General features: G+C 42.0%; 2 protein-coding genes across 2 annotated transcripts; both read left to right on the forward strand.

The window, feature by feature from the left end:
• Positions 1–1,291, forward strand: LCE2C (late cornified envelope 2C). The gene is made up of 2 exons (NM_178429.5): positions 1–50; positions 717–1,291. The coding sequence occupies exon 2, from the start codon at positions 738–740 to the stop codon at positions 1,068–1,070; it is 333 nt and encodes a 110-aa protein (NP_848516.1). The 5' UTR covers positions 1–50; positions 717–737; the 3' UTR covers positions 1,071–1,291.
• A 9,553-nt stretch (positions 1,292–10,844) lies between these two features.
• LCE2B (late cornified envelope 2B) lies at positions 10,845–12,119 on the forward strand. The gene is made up of 2 exons (NM_014357.5): positions 10,845–10,878; positions 11,546–12,119. Exon 2 carries the CDS (start codon positions 11,566–11,568, stop codon positions 11,896–11,898), a length of 333 nt encoding a protein of 110 aa, NP_055172.1. The 5' UTR covers positions 10,845–10,878; positions 11,546–11,565; the 3' UTR covers positions 11,899–12,119.
• Positions 12,120–19,302: the final 7,183 nt, after the last annotated feature.

A 19,302-nucleotide genomic window follows, 5' to 3' on the forward strand; every position in this document is an offset into this window, starting at 1 on the left:
ATCTGCTCTGACTCCCCAGGGACGTGTCTGTGCTCCTGCGTGTGACCAGGGTGAGTGGCAACCTGGGATACCAGAGGGGTATGAGCAAGGCAGAGGGATGGGGAGGATGGAGGTAGGCTGGAGAAAGAGTTGTGTGCTTGTGTTCTGCCATACTGAGCAGGAATGGGACTCAGCCTGCCTCGAATCTGTTGAGGCTCTGAGGCCTACCGGAGCTCATATAGGTGGGGAAAGCTAACTGTGCACATCTTTTCCAATTCTGTGTTCAGTGACTTCATGTTGGTAACTTCAAAACTGCTGTGTTGGGCATATTTACACCATGGAAACTGGCAAATACTTCAAGCCAGGCTCTTTTATCTGGAGGTTTCATTGCAAAATATTTTCCAGAGGACCCCTTGGTATGTCCTGCAACACCCAGCTTGTCCTTAGGGCTTGTATTAAAGGAATAGGTACTTCAGGGAGCTGTGAATACTCTATTCGGGCTTGTGAGGATAGAGCAATCGCAGTTTCCCCTGAAAGGAAGAGTAAGAAGCTCATTCTGTTGATTTTTTATCTACGTACTTTTATCTAGAGGAAAGATTCAAGTTGTTTCTTTCAGGTTACTGATGTGATTGTATTATCTAAATATCATTCTTCTTCTACACATGCATTGATTTTAGAAGAGGTATAATATGATCCTTGGTTTGAAATATTTAAAGAGTTTCATTATTATCTTTCAGGTTGACTAAACTCCTGCCAGCATGTCTTGCCAGCAAAACCAGCAGCAGTGCCAGCCCCCTCCCAAGTGTCCTCCCAAGTGTACCCCAAAATGTCCACCTAAGTGTCCCCCCAAATGCCCACCACAGTGCCCAGCTCCATGTTTCCCTGCAGTCTCTTCTTGCTGTGGTCCCAGCTCTGGGAGCTGCTGTGGTCCCAGCTCTGGGGGCTGCTGCAGCTCTGGGGCTGGTGGCTGCTCCCTGAGCCACCACAGGCCCCGTCTCTTCCACCGGCGCCGGCACCAGAGCCCCGACTGCTGTGAGAGTGAACCTTCTGGGGGCTCTGGCTGCTGCCACAGCTCTGGGGGCTGCTGCTGACCTGGGCTACAGAAGAGCTCTTGGGACTGAATGGCCAAGAACCTGCTACGGCCTGATGGATACTCTTTCCACTTCCTCTCATTCCATTCATTGGTTGGCAGAGACCACAAAGACTCATGGGGCTTTCCTGGAAGAACTTCGTGCTTGATGTAACACCCCAATTGCAAGTCTTCTTTTCCTCCTTTACCTCATGTTATAATAAAGCTCTGATCTCTGACTCACTAAATGTCTTGGTCATTCTCTTCTCTTCTGAGATTTCAAATGTCCTCCAAAGGTCAGGGCCTCAGAGTAATTTTCTTCATGAGGCTAGGACAGGACATGAGTAGGTGATACATGAAAAGCTGCTCTGAGGAACTGATTCCCCCAGATGCTGAGTGAATGGAGCTCCAAGAGGGTCACCTCTGGCTATGGTAGCTTTGCCTTTCTCTCCACTAAGCCAGACACATGTTCTAATTTTCTGTGTAATCCAGACGTTGGGAAGGTTGGGAAGCTCTGCAGACTTGTTCTTCTCTAGGGAGAAGAACACATCCCTATGAAGCAAAACTTTCCTGCCCTTAGAATCAATAGTTGGATAAAATGCTTGAAACAGATGTTGAGACCCTTCCTCCTGTAAAGTACAGCCCATGGTCACTCAGCTTCTTTTCATGAGTCTGGTTAAGATCAGCCTTTTGACTTGCTGCCTTGGACACCTGGCTTCAGTTCCTCACAGTGTTAGATCTGAGTCCCAGGATGCTGTCCTGCCACTTGGCTCACGTGCTGGGCAGGGGAGTGATGAGTGATGGAGATATTAAGTGAAAAAACATGGAAGTGTTGCTTAGAAGATACAAAGAATATAAGGAACATAAGAATACAAAGAATACAAAACGCTGTATGAAAGAATAGACCTTTCCTCCTTCAATACTTATCTTTTTTGCCAAGCCACCCTCAGAATGTGAGGGGGGAGAAGCGCCAGGATGGGTGGGGCATCTTAAGTATTACTAGAGGAAGGGGAGGGAAGCAGGGACACAGCAGGGGAAACAAGGGCTAGTGCTTCTTAGGTTCAGGCTGACAGGTGTCGACATGAAGATAATGGATTCAGCAAAGACGGATTTTGACAGAGATGGAGCCTCTTATTAATATGTTTACCTTCTTACTTACCCTTAGTGCCACTAAGACAAAAACCCAGCTGATTAACCAGTTTGAGATTCTGTACTGTCTGCATTTTAAATCACCCTCTGCACTGAGTCAGTTTATTTGACTCAATGCTCTTTATTATTTTGCCAGTCTCATTATTAACTAATTTTCAAGTCCCTGACCAGTAGTAATTTTGAGCTTCCATAAATATGTACATTGGCTATTTCTACAAAATTTGTAATAGGATTTTAAATTTTCTTTTCAATTTTCAAGAGCTCTTGATATATCATGGATATTAACCTTGATCTGTCTTTATTAAAATATTTAATACATCATAATTAATTGACTCTGTTTATAATAACTTTTGCTATGGAAATATTTGTAGTTTTTAAATACTCAAATATGACTTTCTTTGCTTTCATAGCTTCAGGGTTTCCTGAGTTGGTTAAGAAGTTTTTCCTTGTCCTTAGTGTTTACATGTCAGCAAACAAAACAAATAAAAAAACCCAAACAGTATAAAATGGAACACCAAGCGGGGGACCTAAGGTTGCCTGGGGCAGGTGAAGGCTGGCCTGCGGAGGGGTGGACACCCGAGTATGCTTTCAGGGACCTCTGCCTTAAGTAAGAGCAACTCACCGGCCCTTTCCTTCTCCAGTGGGCCTGCTATCTGGGGCTCCATGTGCTCCTTTCATGGTGAACATAATCCTTTCCTTATCTAAACTTCCATACACAGAATAATTTCCAATCTGACTATTGGTTTTTACTTGCATCTTATCTTATGTTTGGCATGTGTGCATGTGTGTTAGAAATTAAGTTCTGCTACTATCACAGGAACTCAAAATCACAGCAATTTAAAGAGGAGAGCAGGCTATTTCCACTCACATGTGATTAAGTCAGAGGTCAGTAGTCCATGGCTGGTATGGTGGTTCCCTGGAGTATTCAGAGATGGATACCCCTCTGTCTTGTCATTTCATTATTAGTGCTTATTTCCTGAGAAACAGTTGGTGATCTCAAGATGCCTGATGGAGTTCTGATCTGCAACGCTGTACTTCAGGTCTGAAGAAAGAGAAAGGGTGGGTGAAAGGTCCTGATCCCAATAGAGCCTCTTACCTGAGCTTTCCTAAAGTCCCAACAATTTCCTAAATCTCACTGGCTGCTTGTATGTACAGAAGGGATAGAGAAGTATAAATTTTGATATCTGGACATGGTGTGGTTCTGGACAAAATTTAAAGATGTAAGTTAAGAATGAAGTGGAGCACGCACATTGCGTACACATCCAATCAAGTAGTTCTTGATATAGTTCAACCTGCTGAGTAAAGACAGCTGGATTGCTGGTTTCTGGAAATAGCGACACAGACTCTCTGGGTACACTTCACTTACCTCTTAATGCAACATTCAGGAACGTCCTGCCCACGTTTCCACCTTTATGGTCTCTGCTGTATGCACTGAGGCAAATCTGCCTGGAAGGTTGATTAGGCAGGGGAATTCACTGCCTGCAGCTGAGGTCTGGAGTGCTCTGGGGGGCTCCCTGGAGACAGGCACAAGACCTGGCTTATGGAAGCCTGGCGGAGGCTCCAGGTTACTTCTGCCTCCTGTCTCCCCACCTCTAATCCACCCATCACCCAGAAGTGGGCCAAGGATCAGGGGTCTGGATCATCTCTCAAGGGCAGGAGGAGGGTGAGGCTCTGAGAAGAAGTGTGCTGTCCAATCAGAAACCATACTTGGTGTTATGGCTGCATCTCTTTCAAAGGTATCTAGAGTGGGAGGGTGACAGATGATTAACTCTGGGTTATCTGAAATATGACCCAAGTGAGGAGAGTCAACAGTAACCAGAACACATTGTGAAAAGGAAAAGGTGGATAGATTGTCACCTGGGCCAGAATCCCCAGAGAGCACTTTCACCTCCACATCGAATGAAAAATTCTACCTGGTCACCCTCTTGAGTCCCCAGAGGGTCAGCCCAGGAATAGGGTAGAGTAGAAAGGAGTTTTGGGCCAGGATGGATGCTTGTGTGTGTGGTTATCTCAACTCGGACCCTCTGAGATCCACAGCAGTGCCCGAGAGCTGCGACGCTGCTCTCTCACTGACTCTCCAGGCTCTGTCGCTGCTGCTGCAACAGCTCTGCAGCCAAGGTCTGCTGACTGTGTTTTGCCTGTGCTAACTCCAGGAGCAGCTGCTCCCAGAGCAGGACCAACACTAACCCCAGTGCTAAGAAAAACTCCAGAGCCTGAGGGACCAGCATATTGGCCGGCTCTTGGAGGGACTCTTACTGTTGCTGGCTCAGTTGGCAGGATATCTTAACATGAGTTCAGCTGGAAGTGAATTCAGCTGAACAGAACACATGTGTAAACTAGAATAAGGCTACTTTTCATTTTCTAAACAATTCTCCTTCTGCTTGTAAATAATTGGCAAACCCACTAATATTCAGAAAGAAATTCCCCATGTTACCATTTCATGGTTGCTCCTTGACCTTGCTAGGTCAGATTTCAATCCTAGTCCACCCCCACGCTGGTTGCATTGCTCCATCTTCACACCTAATTCAGAACTATGTACAGAAAGAGTAAAACTATGTAATTCTAAACTTTTGTGCTAGTTATAAGATATGCACTCTTATAAGTGTTTCAGGTGTAACTCAACCAAAATAACAATTAATTCACACAATATTGCTGTTAGGAAATTACAGCTATTTTCCACACTTCATAGATGAAAAGACAGATGCACAGACAATTTCGGGCACATTTCTAAGGCTTTAAGGCAAGTAACTTGTTCTCAGAATCCAAATCTAGGTGATTTAACTACATTCTGTGGTCTCAACAAGTTCTCTGGAGTTAAACTGGGAAGGCATGCACTATTTACTGTGTGTGAAATTCAAACAGCTTATGGTAAGTTCTTCTCAACAAGCTAGACTTAAAACAGCTATTCCCTTCTTTTCTTGCCTGATATACTAATGTTTCTGTGTTAGTTCCCACACTGCATAAAATGAGCCTCTATTTCTCATGCCCTCTTCATCCACGTCCCTCCCTCCTTTCTGAAGAATATAGTCACAGTGGGCAGATATTATATTCCTTTCATATCATGTAGTATCCCCAGAGTTGGCCACATAGTCAACAATACTTGCTGAGTGTGTATAAGAGTGAATTAATAAACTCTGATTATTGAATTTACTAATGGGAGACAGTCCAAGAAAATCCTCAAATTGTTTTCTCTTTAGAGATGTTCTTTTCTTTTAATTCATCTGATCATATCCTTCTCTCATTTACTCTTGTAAGAACTGCTTAATAGTTACCTAATTTGCTCAGCACAGAATTCTTGGAAAAGTTCCTTGCTCCAGGGAATCCTAAGGCATGGATATGCAGTGATTGCAAATAGAATATTTAATTAATGTGCACTATTCATCTAACACTGACATTCTTCTAATTCCAATGATTAGAAAGAAATACTGGATATAAATGGACATAGGCAGTGAGGGTGTTGGTGTGTGTGTGTAGTGATCATATGTAATTAACATAATTTTCTCCCATGATAGCCTATAAATAGTGCTGTCTGGGTCATGAAAAACGATGGGTTCAGTCTTGGTTTTGATTAAGAAGTAAGTGCATAGATATTGCATATAAGAGAGGTACACAGACAATGTTGGCAGGGAATTGGTATGGGAGAGGGATTTAGAAAGCATAGTTATAAATTATCTGGAAAATTCATCCCACCAAACAAAATAATTGACAATCTGGACTAGACAGATGGTCTGACATTGTGTGTGTGAGTGTGTGTGTGTGTGTGTGTGTGTGTGTGTATGGTAGTGTATCTATGCTGTGTGTAAACTTGTTGTCAGAAACCTGTTGACATTATACTAAAATAATTGAAATTTTTTTGGTTAAATTTTCTGAACTTTATTCCCAGCTGTGTGAACTTGGGCTATTTGTTTAGCTCTAGGAGCCTTTGTTTTCTCATTAGTACAGTGGGAATATTAATACCACCTACATCACATGATTAGTATGAGGATTAAATGAGATAATGTGTATAAAACACTTAAATAATACCTAGAAAAAAATAGATGGTCAGTAAACATCAGTTATTATATTACTTTCTGTTATTTTTATCATTGTACACACATGTATGTATGCATGTATACACACACACACACACACACACACACACACACACACACGGAGGCATTTGACCCAAAAGCACAACTCCACTCAACCTATACCTCAGGGAAAGATGGGGAAGTAGGTAGACCTGAATTGGCTAGGGTTTTGCAGAGAAACAGAAGAGAGAGATAAATTTATTTTAAGAAATTGGCTCATGAGATGACTGTGTGGGCTGGCAAGTCCAAAATCTTGGCTGGAAATTCAGATAACAGTTGATGTTGCAGCATTGAGTCTAAATTCTGCAACGCAGTAGTCTGGAAACAGGCAGAGTTTCTACATTGCAGTCTTGAGGATAATTTATTCTTTGGGAAACCTCAGTGTCCATTATTAAAGACTGCAGCTGATTGGATGAGGCTCATGTTAGGGAAGATAATCTGCTTACTCAGTCTACTGATTAAATACTTACAGAGAAACATGTGGATTGCTATTTGATCAAACAACTGGGTAACACAGCATAGCCTGGGCAAAATTAACCATCACAGAGACTGAGAGGATACATGGAGGTCACTGGAGATATGACCCAAGAGACAGAAGAGGGTCAACAGTGACGAGGACACACTAAGAACATGCCATGATGGTTTTATTTTCACTTAGGATAAAGGCAAATTTCTGGACAGACCTTTGGAGAATATTGGGAAAACAGAAGCTTCTACCTGGTAACCCCATGGTAAGCCCAACAAAGCTGTGATGTTAGGAGGACTGGAGAAAGGGAGTGCAGCATGCGGCTGAGGAGGCCCTTGGCCTTCGCACTTTGGTTTCACAGAAGTGTAGTCAGTACAGCACGGACAAGGCTGCTGACCACTGCACAGTAGCTGGAGCTCTGGGGACTGGTGATTGCTGCAGCTTCTTCCTATGCAGGGGTCACACAAGAAGATTCGGAGGTGAACATGGGCTGTGCACTGGAGTGGCACTGTGGAGGGCCCTTTGAAGGCATTGGCATTGCTGGTGGTTTTTTGGAAAGGTATCTGAGTTTCAGAATGAATTGAATAATAAGTCAGATAAATTAGAGCCAGGACGGGCATAATTTTGCCCTTTTAAACCTATTCTTGGTGTGCTGGCAGACAGTTTATAAAATACATTTGTATCGAATTAGTACCTATGAAGAAACGTATAACCCCAAGTTAAAAGTGTTAGAACTGACATGCTTAAAAACAGAATTAATGCTAAATCAATGTCAATTCTGTCTCTCATTTCATTTCATATCTACGTACCCACTTCCTACCTACAGTATTTCATGAGCTTTAAGAGGCTATCAATTGTAAGGGACACCCTTATTTCATGCACCACAAGGAAAGAAAAAAATGCTGCAAATTCAACAATTACGTGCCACCAATCATATGGTATATACTGATTTAAGGGCTGTTAACAAGTATTAGAAGACTGTATCATGGAATTGATGAATTAAGATAAGTATAAAACCGATCCACTTTAGGTCATATAAATATGTATGTAAATACTAGACGGGCCAATTCTTGCTTTGCCCAGAACACCCCTCTGCTGTGCTCCTCCCTATCACTATGTCTAGCACTAGACACTGCTAGACAGTATTGACAAAAAAGATCAAAAGGCCTACAAAGATATGGTACAGGAAAATTTTGGATTGGTCAATCTATTAAATAAAGGGAGACAAATAAAAAGACATGGTAAGGCTTTTTCTTGTACTGTAGATAAAATAAAGTTCCCACATTTGGTAGGGAGTATTTTTCTGGAATATATGGAGTTTAAGTTCCCAGGGAGACAAATCAAGGAGCTACTTGGAGAGACCAGCCTGCAGGAGAGTGACTTGCCAGATGACATGAACTTCAGATGAAATGTTTGAAGTCACCCGCAGGGCATTCTTCTCATGACACCTACATGCTCGTCCATGTGGTCCTAAAATGATGCACTGATCCTGCCAACACTCATGTGGCAATTAAGTATGTGGGTGGTCCCTGAGGGAGCATGGGCAATGTGACCCACTGGGTCTCCTGGCTCAGAGAGATCACACATGATGATGTGAAGACTGTGGAGACAGAAGCAAGAATATCTATAGTCAGGTGTTTCTTCACTGACTTGTGAACCAATTCCCACCATTTTTTGAGATATAAAGGGAAAAAGTGGGCATGTTAAAGAGCTGTTTATCTCCCAGTTCTGGTTTCCCAGAGGGTCGGTTCCCATTAGTCCTTCCATTGCTTATTCAACCACTCAATACAGATGCTCATGTATGTGCATGTTCATTTCACCTGCACTTTTATATGAATACAGCATACATGCACACAGTGCATACATGCACACAGTGCACACATGCACACACACACACAGGCTTGCCTCCCCTATTTCCTCACTTACAACATTGTAACAAATATCTTTGTCAAAGAGTATGAGGAAGCTGAGGGTGATATCACCATGAAGACAGTGGAATGAACTAACATCTTTTAAACACATTGGGAAATAGTGACTCAGGAGGTTCAGGCCTCAAACATCATCTTCTTTGGTATCCAGTTTGTCTGCAGTCATCTTCAAAAAGGCCACTAAATTCTACAGTCTTTGAGGTCATGGGCTACTTATTGTTCACCTCTATATCCCTATGTTTGGACATACATGCTCCAAGAATGTTGTAGGCTTTCAAAGAATGCCTTTTGAATTCACTGCTCTAATCACACTGTGGACTTAGTTTATCCTTGAGGTAAAAGCTCTCTGAGAACAGGACTCGGGTCTGAAAATAGGACTGTGTAAATAGGTGAATAGAATCCCTCAGGTAGAAGCAGACAATGGGAAACTATGCTTTCTACCTAACCACCCTCCACCACCAAGTAAACATTAGGCAATGTCAAGGCACGGTCTGTTTCTGTTTTAATCAGAGGTGTGAATAACTATCTTTTTCAATTCTAATTTCAACATCTTCATTGAGCCATAATTCACTTATTATACAGCTCATTTATTTAAAGTGTTAATTCAGTGGGTTTCAATATATTCATAGAGTTGGACAATCACCACCAAATTTTAGAACATTTTCATTACTCCACAAAGAAAACCTATATCCATTTGTTGTAATTTTCTAATTTCTCCCAGCCTGCTAAAGTACCTGGAAGCCACTGATATTTCCTCAGAGGATGTGCACAAAAGTAAAAGGCGATACAGGGAACAGAATCTTGTCCAGGCTCTGGTTCCTCAGATGCCCTAAGTCAGCTCTTCAGGCGTCCAGCCTGAGAGAGGCTGTAACTGGCTAAAGCCTCATTCCCTTTCTAGTTCTACAGATTTGCCTACTCTACACATTTCATATAAATAGGATCATAAGAAATGCAGTCTTTTGTGGTTGGCTTCTTCCATTTAGCGTAAGGTTTTCAAAGTTCATCCTCCATATATCTGTTTAAAATAAGTGAATAAATGAATGGGTAACTCTGTCTAGTGCAACCCTGAATCAGAACTCTGAGTAAGTAGACCCCTTTCTGACCCTCTACTTCATGATAGGAAAGGAATTCCCTCTCCACAGAAGCCACAATAAATGATGTCTACTTCCTAAGGGAGTTTTCAAATAAACTGTCTTGTAAGGGTTCTATATGGACAATGAATGCCACATAAGACCTGGGTAAGTATCCAATACATGGCATTAGTTTTTCTTTTAAACACATATTTATTAAGGGTCTATCAAGCACATAGTGTCACACTAAGCTCTTTCTTACTTCTCATTTAATATTAAAAACAGCTCAGTGAGATAAGTATACCTGGTTTATAACGGCCATTACATATGAGAATTGATACTCATTGTGAGTATCATAGTGACACTCTAGCAATTGTTGATAATTGTTGTAGCAATTTCCAGAGATCACTCAGTTATCATATGCAAGTTTTCTGATTCCAGTAGCACATTCAATACAATTCCTCCGACTAAGGGCAATGTTTTGATTTTAGAGGGAATTGTTTATTCTCAATCATATTCTTTGCTCTAGACCACAGAATCAACTCAGATTTAATCCACTGAATCTGCTGGCCATGGTGAGTTGGAGGAAAAGCAGAAACACAGAGGCCAGGAGGAAGGGCTGAGAGCCTAGGCAAGGGAGGGATGCCTAGAAAAAGCCAAGGCTGTAGAAGCCCCCTGGGATGGCTGGATCCACAGCAGGACATGGAAGAGAAACTGCTCAGGGTGGAGGGAGTCATAATGGAACATTTCCACAAGGTCAGGGAAAGCTGTGGCTCAGAACTGATGTTTCCTCAGAGGACACGAATACAAAAGATGCAGGGAACAGGATCTTGTCCAGGCATGGGTCCCTTGGGTAACCTAAGTTAACTCATTAGGGTTCCCACCTGGTGGAGGCTCTGACTGGCTAAAGCTTCTCTAGACCGCAGCCCCAGAGAGGAGTCCTGGAAGCTCCTGAGGCCTCTTTGGATTGCAGGGACTAGGAGGCAGGAGAATGTCAGGAATGACCCAGCACGTGCCTGGTTGTGCAAAAGCCACCTCCTCCTCTTTCCAGAGCCAAGCCTGGGCCCTATAAAAGACACATCCAGCTTCAGCACCTCATCTGCTCTGACTCCCCAGGGACGTGTCTGTGCTCCTGCGTGTGACCAGGGTGAGTGGCAACCTGGGATACCAGAGGGGTATGAGCAAGGCAGAGGGATGGGGAGGATGGAGGTAGGCTGGAGAAAGAGTTGTGTGCTTGTGTTCTGCCATACTGAGGAGGAATGGGACTCAGTCTGCCTCGAATCTGTTGAGGCTGTGAGGCCTACCGGAGGTCGTATAGGTGGGGAAAGCTAACTGTGCACATCTTTTCCAATTCTGTGTTCAGTGACTTCATGTTGGTAACTTCAAAACTGCTGTGTTGGGCATATTTACACCATGGAAACTGGCAAATACTTCAAGCCAGGCTCTTTTATCTGGAGGTTTCATTGCAAAATCTTTTTCCAGAGGACCTCCTGGTGTGTCCTGCAACACGCAGCTGGTCCTTAGGGCTTGTATTAAGGGAATCGGTACTTCATGGAGTGTGAATACTCTATTCAGGCTTGTGAGGATAGAGTAATCTCAGCTTCCCCTGAAAGGAAGAATACGAAGCTCATTCGGTTGGTTTTTTAATGTATGTGCTTTTATTTAGAGGAAAGATTCAAGTTGTTTCTTTCAGGTTACTGATGTGACTGTATGATCTAAATATCATTCTTCTTCTACACATGCATTGATTTTAGAAGAGGTATAATATGATCCTTGGTTTGAAATATTTAAAGAGTTTCATTATTATCTTTCAGGTTGACTAAACTCTGCCAGGATGTCTTGCCAGCAAAACCAGCAGCAGTGCCAGCCCCCTCCCAAGTGTCCTCCCAAGTGTACCCCAAAATGTCCACCTAAGTGTCCCCCTAAATGCCTGCCCCAGTGCCCAGCTCCATGTTCCCCTGCAGTCTCTTCTTGCTGTGGTCCCATCTCTGGGGGCTGCTGTGGTCCCAGCTCTGGGGGCTGCTGCAACTCTGGGGCTGGTGGCTGCTGCCTGAGCCACCACAGGCCCCGTCTCTTCCACCGGCGCCGGCACCAGAGCCCCGACTGCTGTGAGAGTGAACCTTCTGGGGGCTCTGGCTGCTGCCACAGCTCTGGGGGCTGCTGCTGACCTGGGCTAAGAAGAACTCTTTGGACAGAATGTTTAAGAACCTCCTACAGCCTGATGCTTAACCCTTTCCATTTCCTCTCATTCCATTCATGGGTGGACAGCGACCACAAAGACTCATGGGGCTTCCCTGGGAGAACTTTGCACTTGATGGAGCACCTCAATTGCAGGTTTTGTTTTCCTCCTTTACCTCATGTTATAATAAAGCTCTGATTTCTGACTCACAAATTGTCTTGGTCGTTCTCTTCTCTTCTGAGATTTCAAACGTCGTCCAAAGGTCAGGGCCTCAGAGAAATTCTCTTCATGGGTCAAGGACAGGACCTGAGTAGGTGATACATGAAAAGCTGCTCCAAGGAACTGATTCCCTCAAATGCAGGGTGGATGGAGCTCGAAGAGGGTCACCTCTGGCTATGGCAGCTTTGCCTTTCTCTCCACTAAGCCAGACACATGTTCTAATTTTCTGTGTATTCCAGACATTGGGAAGGTTGGGAAGCTCTGTAGACTTGTTCTTCTCTAGGGAGAAGAACACATCTCTATGAAGCAAAACTTCCCTGCTGTTAGAATCAATAGTCGGATAAAATGCTTGAAATGCATGTTGAGACCCTTCCTTCTGCAAAGTACAGCCCACAGTCACTGAACTCCTTCTCAGGGAGGGTGAGTCTGGTTAAGATCAGCCCATTGACTTGCTGCCTCAGACACCTAGCTTCAGTTCCTCAAAGTGTTAGATCTGAGTCCCAGGATGCTGTCCTGCCACTTGGCCTATGTGTTGGGCAGGTGAGTGATGAGTGATGGAGATATTTATTAGAAAAAACATGGAGGTCCCACTTTGAAAATACAACGAATTTATGGTACACGACACTGTAGGGAAGATTAGACGTTTCCTCCTTCAATACTAACCTTCTTTGTCCAGCCACCCTCAGATGTGAGGGGGGAGAAGTGCCAGGATGGTTGGGGGATCTTTAGTATTAATGGGAGAAGGGGAGAGAAGCAGGGAAACAGCAGGGGAAATAAGGACTAGTGCTTCTTAGGTTCAGGCTGACAGGTGTCAACATGAAGATAATGGATTCAGCGAAGAGAGAATCTGACAGAGATGGAGACTGTTATTAAGATGTTCAGCTGCCTCCTCATCCTTGCAGCTGCTAAGAAAAACACCTAGCTCTTTAACCAGTCTGAGATTCTGTACTCTCTGTGTTTTAAATTAGCCTTTGCACTGAGTCATTTTATTTGATGTAATGCTCTTTATTATTTTTGCCAGTCTCATTTTATTTTATTTTTTTTACTTAAGTTCTGGGATACATGAGCTGAATGTGCAGGTTTGTTACATAGGTATATATGTGCCATGGTAGTTTGCTATGTCTATTAACCCGTCATCTAAGTTTTAAGCTCCACATGCATTACGTATTTGTCCTAATGCTCTCCCTCCTCTCACCTCCACCCCCAATATGCCCCGATGTGTGATGTTCCCTGCCCTGTGTCTATGTCTTCTCATTGCTCAGCTCCCACTTATTAGTGAGAACATGCGGTGTTTGGTTTTCTGTTCCTGTGTTAGTTTGCTGAAGATGATGGTTTCCAGCTTCATCCATGTGCCTGTAAAGGACCTAAACTTATTCTTTTTATGGCTGCATAGTATTCCATGGTGTATATGTGCCACATTTTCTTTATCCACTCTATCATTGATGGGCATTTGGGTTGGTTCCAAGTCTGCTATTGTAAATAGTTGTGCTATAAACATAAGTATGCATGTCTTTATAGTAGCATAATTTATAATCCTTTGGGTATATACCCAGAAATGGGATTGCTGGGTCAAATAGTATTTCTGGTTCTATATCCTTGAGGAATCACCACACTGTCTCCCACATGGGTGATCTAATTTACAGTCCCACCAACAGTGTAAAAGCATTCCTATTTCTCCGCATCCTCTTGAGCATCTGTTGTTTCCAGACTTTTTAATGATCGCCATTCTAACTGGTGTGAGATGGTATCTCATTTTGGTTTTGATTTGCACATCTCTAATGACCAGTGATTATGAGCTTTTTTTCATATGTTTGTTGGCCGCATAAATGTCTTCTTTTGAGAAGTGTCTGTTCAGATCCTTTGCCCACTTTTTGATGGGGTTGTTTGTTTTTCTCTTGAAAATTTGTTTAAGTTCCTTGTAGATTCTGGATATTAGACCTTTGTCAGATGGATAGATTGCAAAAATTTTCTCCCACTCTGTAGGTTGCCTGTTGACTCTGATGATATTGTCTTTTGAAAAGATTAACAAAATAGATAGACCACTAGCCAGACTAATAAAGAATAAATGAGAGAAGAATCAAATAGACACAATAAAAAATGATAAAGCATATATCACCACTGATAACACAGAAATACAAACAAACCACCATCAAAGAATAATATAAACACCTCTATGCAAATAAACTAGAAAATCTTGAAGAAATGGATAAATTTCTGGACACAGAAACCCTCCCAACACTAAACTAGGAAGAAATTGAATCCTTGAATAGACCAATAACAAGTTCTGAAATTGAGGCAGTAATTAATAGCCTACCAAGCAAAAAAAAACCCCAGGAATAGAGAGATTCACAGTCGAATTTTACCAGAGGTACAAAGAGGAGCTGATACCATTCCTTCTGAAACTATTCCAAACAATAGAAAAAGAGGGACTCCTCCCTAACTCATTTAATGAGGCCAGCATCATCCTGATTTTAAAATCTGGCAGAGACACAACAAAAAAAGAAAATTTCAGGCCAATATCACTGATGAACATCAATGCAAAAATCCTCAATAAAATACTGGCAAACTGATTCCAGCAGCACATCAAAAAGCTTATCCACCACATTCAAGTCGGCTTCATCCCTGGGATGCAAGGCTGGTTCAACATACACAAATCAATAAACGTAATCCATCACATAAACAGAACTAATGACAAAAACCACATGATTATCTCGATGGATGCAGAAAAGGCCTTTGATAAAATTCAACACTGCTTCACGCTAAAAACTCTCAATAAACTAGGTATTGATGGAACATATCTCAAAATAATAAGAGCCATTTATGACAATCCTGTAGCCAATATCATACTGAATGGGCAAAAGCTGGAAGCATTCCCTTTGAAAACCAGCACAAGACAAAGATGCCTTCTCTCACCACTCCTATTCAACATAGTATCAGAAGTTCTGGCCAGAGCAATCAGGCAAGAGAAGGAAGTAAAGGTTATTCAAATAGGAAGAGAGGACATCAAATCGTATCTCTTTGCAGATGACATGATTGTATATTCAGAAAACCCCATCGTCTCAGCCCAAAAACTCCTTAAGCTGATAAGCAACTTCAGCAAAGTCTCCGGATACAAAATCAATGTGCAAAAATTACAAGCATTCCTCTACACCAATAATAGACAAGCAGACAGCCAAATTATGAGTAAACTCCCATTCACAATTGCTACAAAGAAAATAAAATACCTAGGAATATAACTTACAAGGGAGGTGAAGGAATTCTTCAAGGAGAACTACAAACCACTGCTCAAGGAAATAAGAGAGGGCACAAACAAATGGAAAAACATTCCATGCTCATGGATAGGAAGAATCAATATCTTGAAAATGGCCATACTGCCCAAAGTAATTTATAGATTCAAGCTATCCCCATCAAGCTACCACTGACTTTCTTCACAGAACTACAAAAAACTACTTTAAATTTCATATGGAATCAAAAAAAGAGCCCATATAGCCAAGACAATCCTAAGCAAAAAGAACAAAGCTGGAAGCATCAAGCTACCTGACTTCAAACTGTACTACAGAGCTACAGTAACCAAAATAGCATGGTACTGGTACCAAAACAGATATATAGACCAATGGAACAAAACAGAGACCCCAGAAATAACATCACACGTCTACAACCATCTGATCTTCAACAAACCTGACCAAAAAAGCAATGGGGAAAGGATTCCCTATTTAATAAATGGTGCTGGGAAAACTGGCTAATCATATGCAGAAAACAGAAACTCGACCCCTTCCTTACACCTTATATAAAAATTAACTCAAAATGGGTGTTAAAGACTTAAATGTAAAACCTGAAAGTATAAAAACCCTAGAAGAAAACCTAGGCAATACAATTCAGGACATAGGCATGGGCAAAGACTTCATGACTAAAACAGCAAAAGCAATTGCAACAAAAGCCAAAGTTGACAAATGGGATCTAATTAAACTAAAGAGCTCAGCCAGTCTCATTATTAACTGAAATTTCAAGTCCCTGAACAGTAGTAATTTTGTTCTTCTAAAAACACGTACATTGGCCATTTCTACAAATTTCATAACATGATTTCAAATTTTCTTTTCAATTTTCAAGGGCTCTTGATATATCACAGATATTAAACTTGATCCGCCTTATTAAAATATTTAATGCAGGGACCCACTTGAGGAGGCAGTCTGTGGGTCCCTGACCCCCGAGTAGCCTAACTGGGAGGCACCCCCCAGTAGGGGCATACTGACGCCTCCCATGGTCGGGTACTCCTCTGAGACAAAACTTCCAGAGGAACGATCAGGCAGCAACATTTGCTGCTCACCAATATCCGCTGTTCTGCAGCCTCTGCTGCTGATACCCAGGCAAACAGAGTCTGGAGTGGACCTCCAGCAAACTCCAACAGACCTGCAGCTGAGGGTCCTGACTGTTAGATGGAAAACTAACAAACAGAAAGGACATCCAAACCAAAACCCCATCTGTACGTCACCATCATCAAAGACCAAAGGTAGATAAAACCACAAAGATGGGGAAAAAACAGCAGAAAAACTGGAGATTCTAAAAATCAGAGTGCCTCTCCTCCTCCAAAGGAACGCAGCTCCTCTCTAGCAACAGAACAAAGCTGGACAGAGAATGACTTTGAGGAGTGGAGAGAAGAAGGCTTCAGATGATCAAACTGCTCTGCGCTAAAGGAGGAAGTTTGAACCCATGGCAAAGAAGTTAAAAACCTTGAAAAAAAATTAGACAAATGGCTAACTAGAATAACCAATGCAGAGAAGTCCTTAAAGGACCTGATGGAGCTGAAAACCATGGCATGAGAACTATGTGACGAATGCACAAGCCTCAGTAGCCAATTGGATCAACTGGAAGAAAGGGTATCAGTGATGGAAGATCAAATGAATGAAATGAAGTGAGAAGAGAAGTTTAGAGAAAAAAGAATAAAAGGAAATGAACAAATCCTCCAAGAAATATGGGACTATGTGAAAAGACCAAGCCTAAGTCTGATTGGTGTACCTGAAAGTGATGGGGAGAATGGAACCAAGTTGGAAAACACTCTGCAGGATATCATCCAGGAGAACTTCCCCAATCTACTAAGGCAGGCCAACATTCAAATTCAGGAAATACAGAAAACGTCACGAAGATACTCCTCGAGAAGAGCAGCTCCAAGACACATAATTGTCAGATTCACCAAAGTTGAAATGAACGAAAAAATGTTAAGTGCAGCCAGAGAGAAAGGTCGGGTTACCCACAAAGGGAAGCCCATCAAACTAACAGCTGATCTCTTGGCAGAAACTCTACAAGCCAGAAGAGACTGAAGACCAATATTCAACGTTCTTAAAGAAAAGAATTTTCAACCCAGAATTTCATATCCAGCCAAACTAACCATCATAAGTGAAGGAGAAATAAAATCCTTTACACACAAACAAATGCTGAGAGATTTTGTCACCACGAGGCCTGCCCTAAAAGAGCTCCTGAAGGAAGCACTAAACATGGAAAGGAACAACCGGTATCAGCCACTGCAAAAACATGCCAAATTGTAAAGACCATCGAGGCTAGGAAGAAACTGCATCAACTAACGAGCAAAATAACCAGCTAACAGCATAATGATAGGATCAAATTCACACATAACAATATTAACCTTCAATGTAAATGGGCTAAATGCTCCAATTAAAAGGCACAGACTGGCAAATTGGATAAAGAGTCAAGACCCATCAGTGTGCTGTATTCAGGAAACCCATCTCACGTGCAGAGATACATATAGGCTCAAAATAAAAGGATAGAGGAAGATCTACTAAGGAAATGGAAAACAAAAAAAGGCAGGGGTTGCAATCCTAGTCTCGGATAAAACAGACTTTAAACCAACAAAGAGACAAAGAAGGCCATTATATAATGGTAAAGGGATCAATTCAACAAGAAGAGCTAACTATCCCAAATATATATGCACGCAATACAGGAGCACCCAGATTCATAAAGCAAGTCCTTAGTGACCTACAAAGAGACTTAGACTCCCATAAAATAATAATGGGAGACTTTAACACCCCACTGTCAACATTAGACAGATCAACGAGACAGAAAGTTAACAATGATATCCAGGAATTTAACTCAGCTCTGCACCAAGTGGACCTAATAGACATCTACAGAACTTTCCACCCCAAATCAACAGAATATACATTCTTCTCAGCACCACACCACACTTATTCTAAAATTGACCACATAGTTGGAAGTAAAGCACTCCTCAGCAAATGTAAAAGAATATAAACTATAACAAACTGTCTCTCAGACCACAGTGCAATCAAACTAGAACTCAGGATTAAGAAACACACTCAAAACCACTCAACTACATGGAAACTGAAAAACCTGCTCCTGACTACTGGGTACATATGAAATGAAGGCAGAAATAAAGATGTTCTTGAAACCAACGAGACCACAACATACTAGAATCTCTGGGACACATTCAAAGCAGTGTGTAGAGGGAAATTTATAGCACTAAATGCCCAAAAGAGAAAGCAGGAAAGACCTAAAATTGACACCCTAACATCACAATTAAAAGAACTAGAGAAGCAAGAGCAAACACATTCAAAAGCTAGCAGAAGACAAGAAATAACTAACATCAGAGCAGAACTGAAGGAAATAGAGACACAAGAAACCCTTCAAAAAATCAATGAATCCAGGAGCTGGTTTTTTGAAAAGATCCACAAAATTGATAGACCACTAGCAAGACTAATAAAGAAGAAAAGAGAGAAGAATCAAACAGACACAATAAAAGATGATAAAGGGGATATCATCACCAATCCCACAGCAATACAAACTACCATCAGAGAATACTATAAACACCTCTACGCAAATAAACTAGAAAATCTAGAAGAAATGGATAAATTCCTGGACACATACACCCTCCCAAGACTAAACCAGGAAGAAGTTGAATCTCTGAATAGACCAATAACAGGCTCTGAAATTGAGGCAATAATTAATAGCTTACCAACCCAAAAAAGTCCAGGACCAGATGGATTCACAGCCGAATTCTACCAGAGGTACAAGGAGGAGCTGGTACCATTCCTTCTGAAACTATTCCAATCAATAGAAAAAGAGAGAATCCTCCCTAACTCATTTTATGAGGCCAGCATCATCCTGATACCAAAGTCTGGCAGAGATACAACAAAAAAAGAGAATTTT

The sequence above is a fragment of the Homo sapiens genome, chromosome 1, assembly GCF_000001405.40.
Source record: "Homo sapiens chromosome 1, GRCh38.p14 Primary Assembly".
Classification (NCBI taxonomy): Eukaryota; Metazoa; Chordata; class Mammalia; order Primates; family Hominidae; genus Homo; species Homo sapiens.

Coding starts and splice junctions, on each gene's coding strand:
- LCE2C (NM_178429.5), top strand. CDS start 738: ATGTCTTGCCAGCAAAACCAGCAGCAGTGCCAGCCCCCTCCCAAGTGT.
- LCE2B (NM_014357.5), top strand. CDS start 11,566: ATGTCTTGCCAGCAAAACCAGCAGCAGTGCCAGCCCCCTCCCAAGTGT.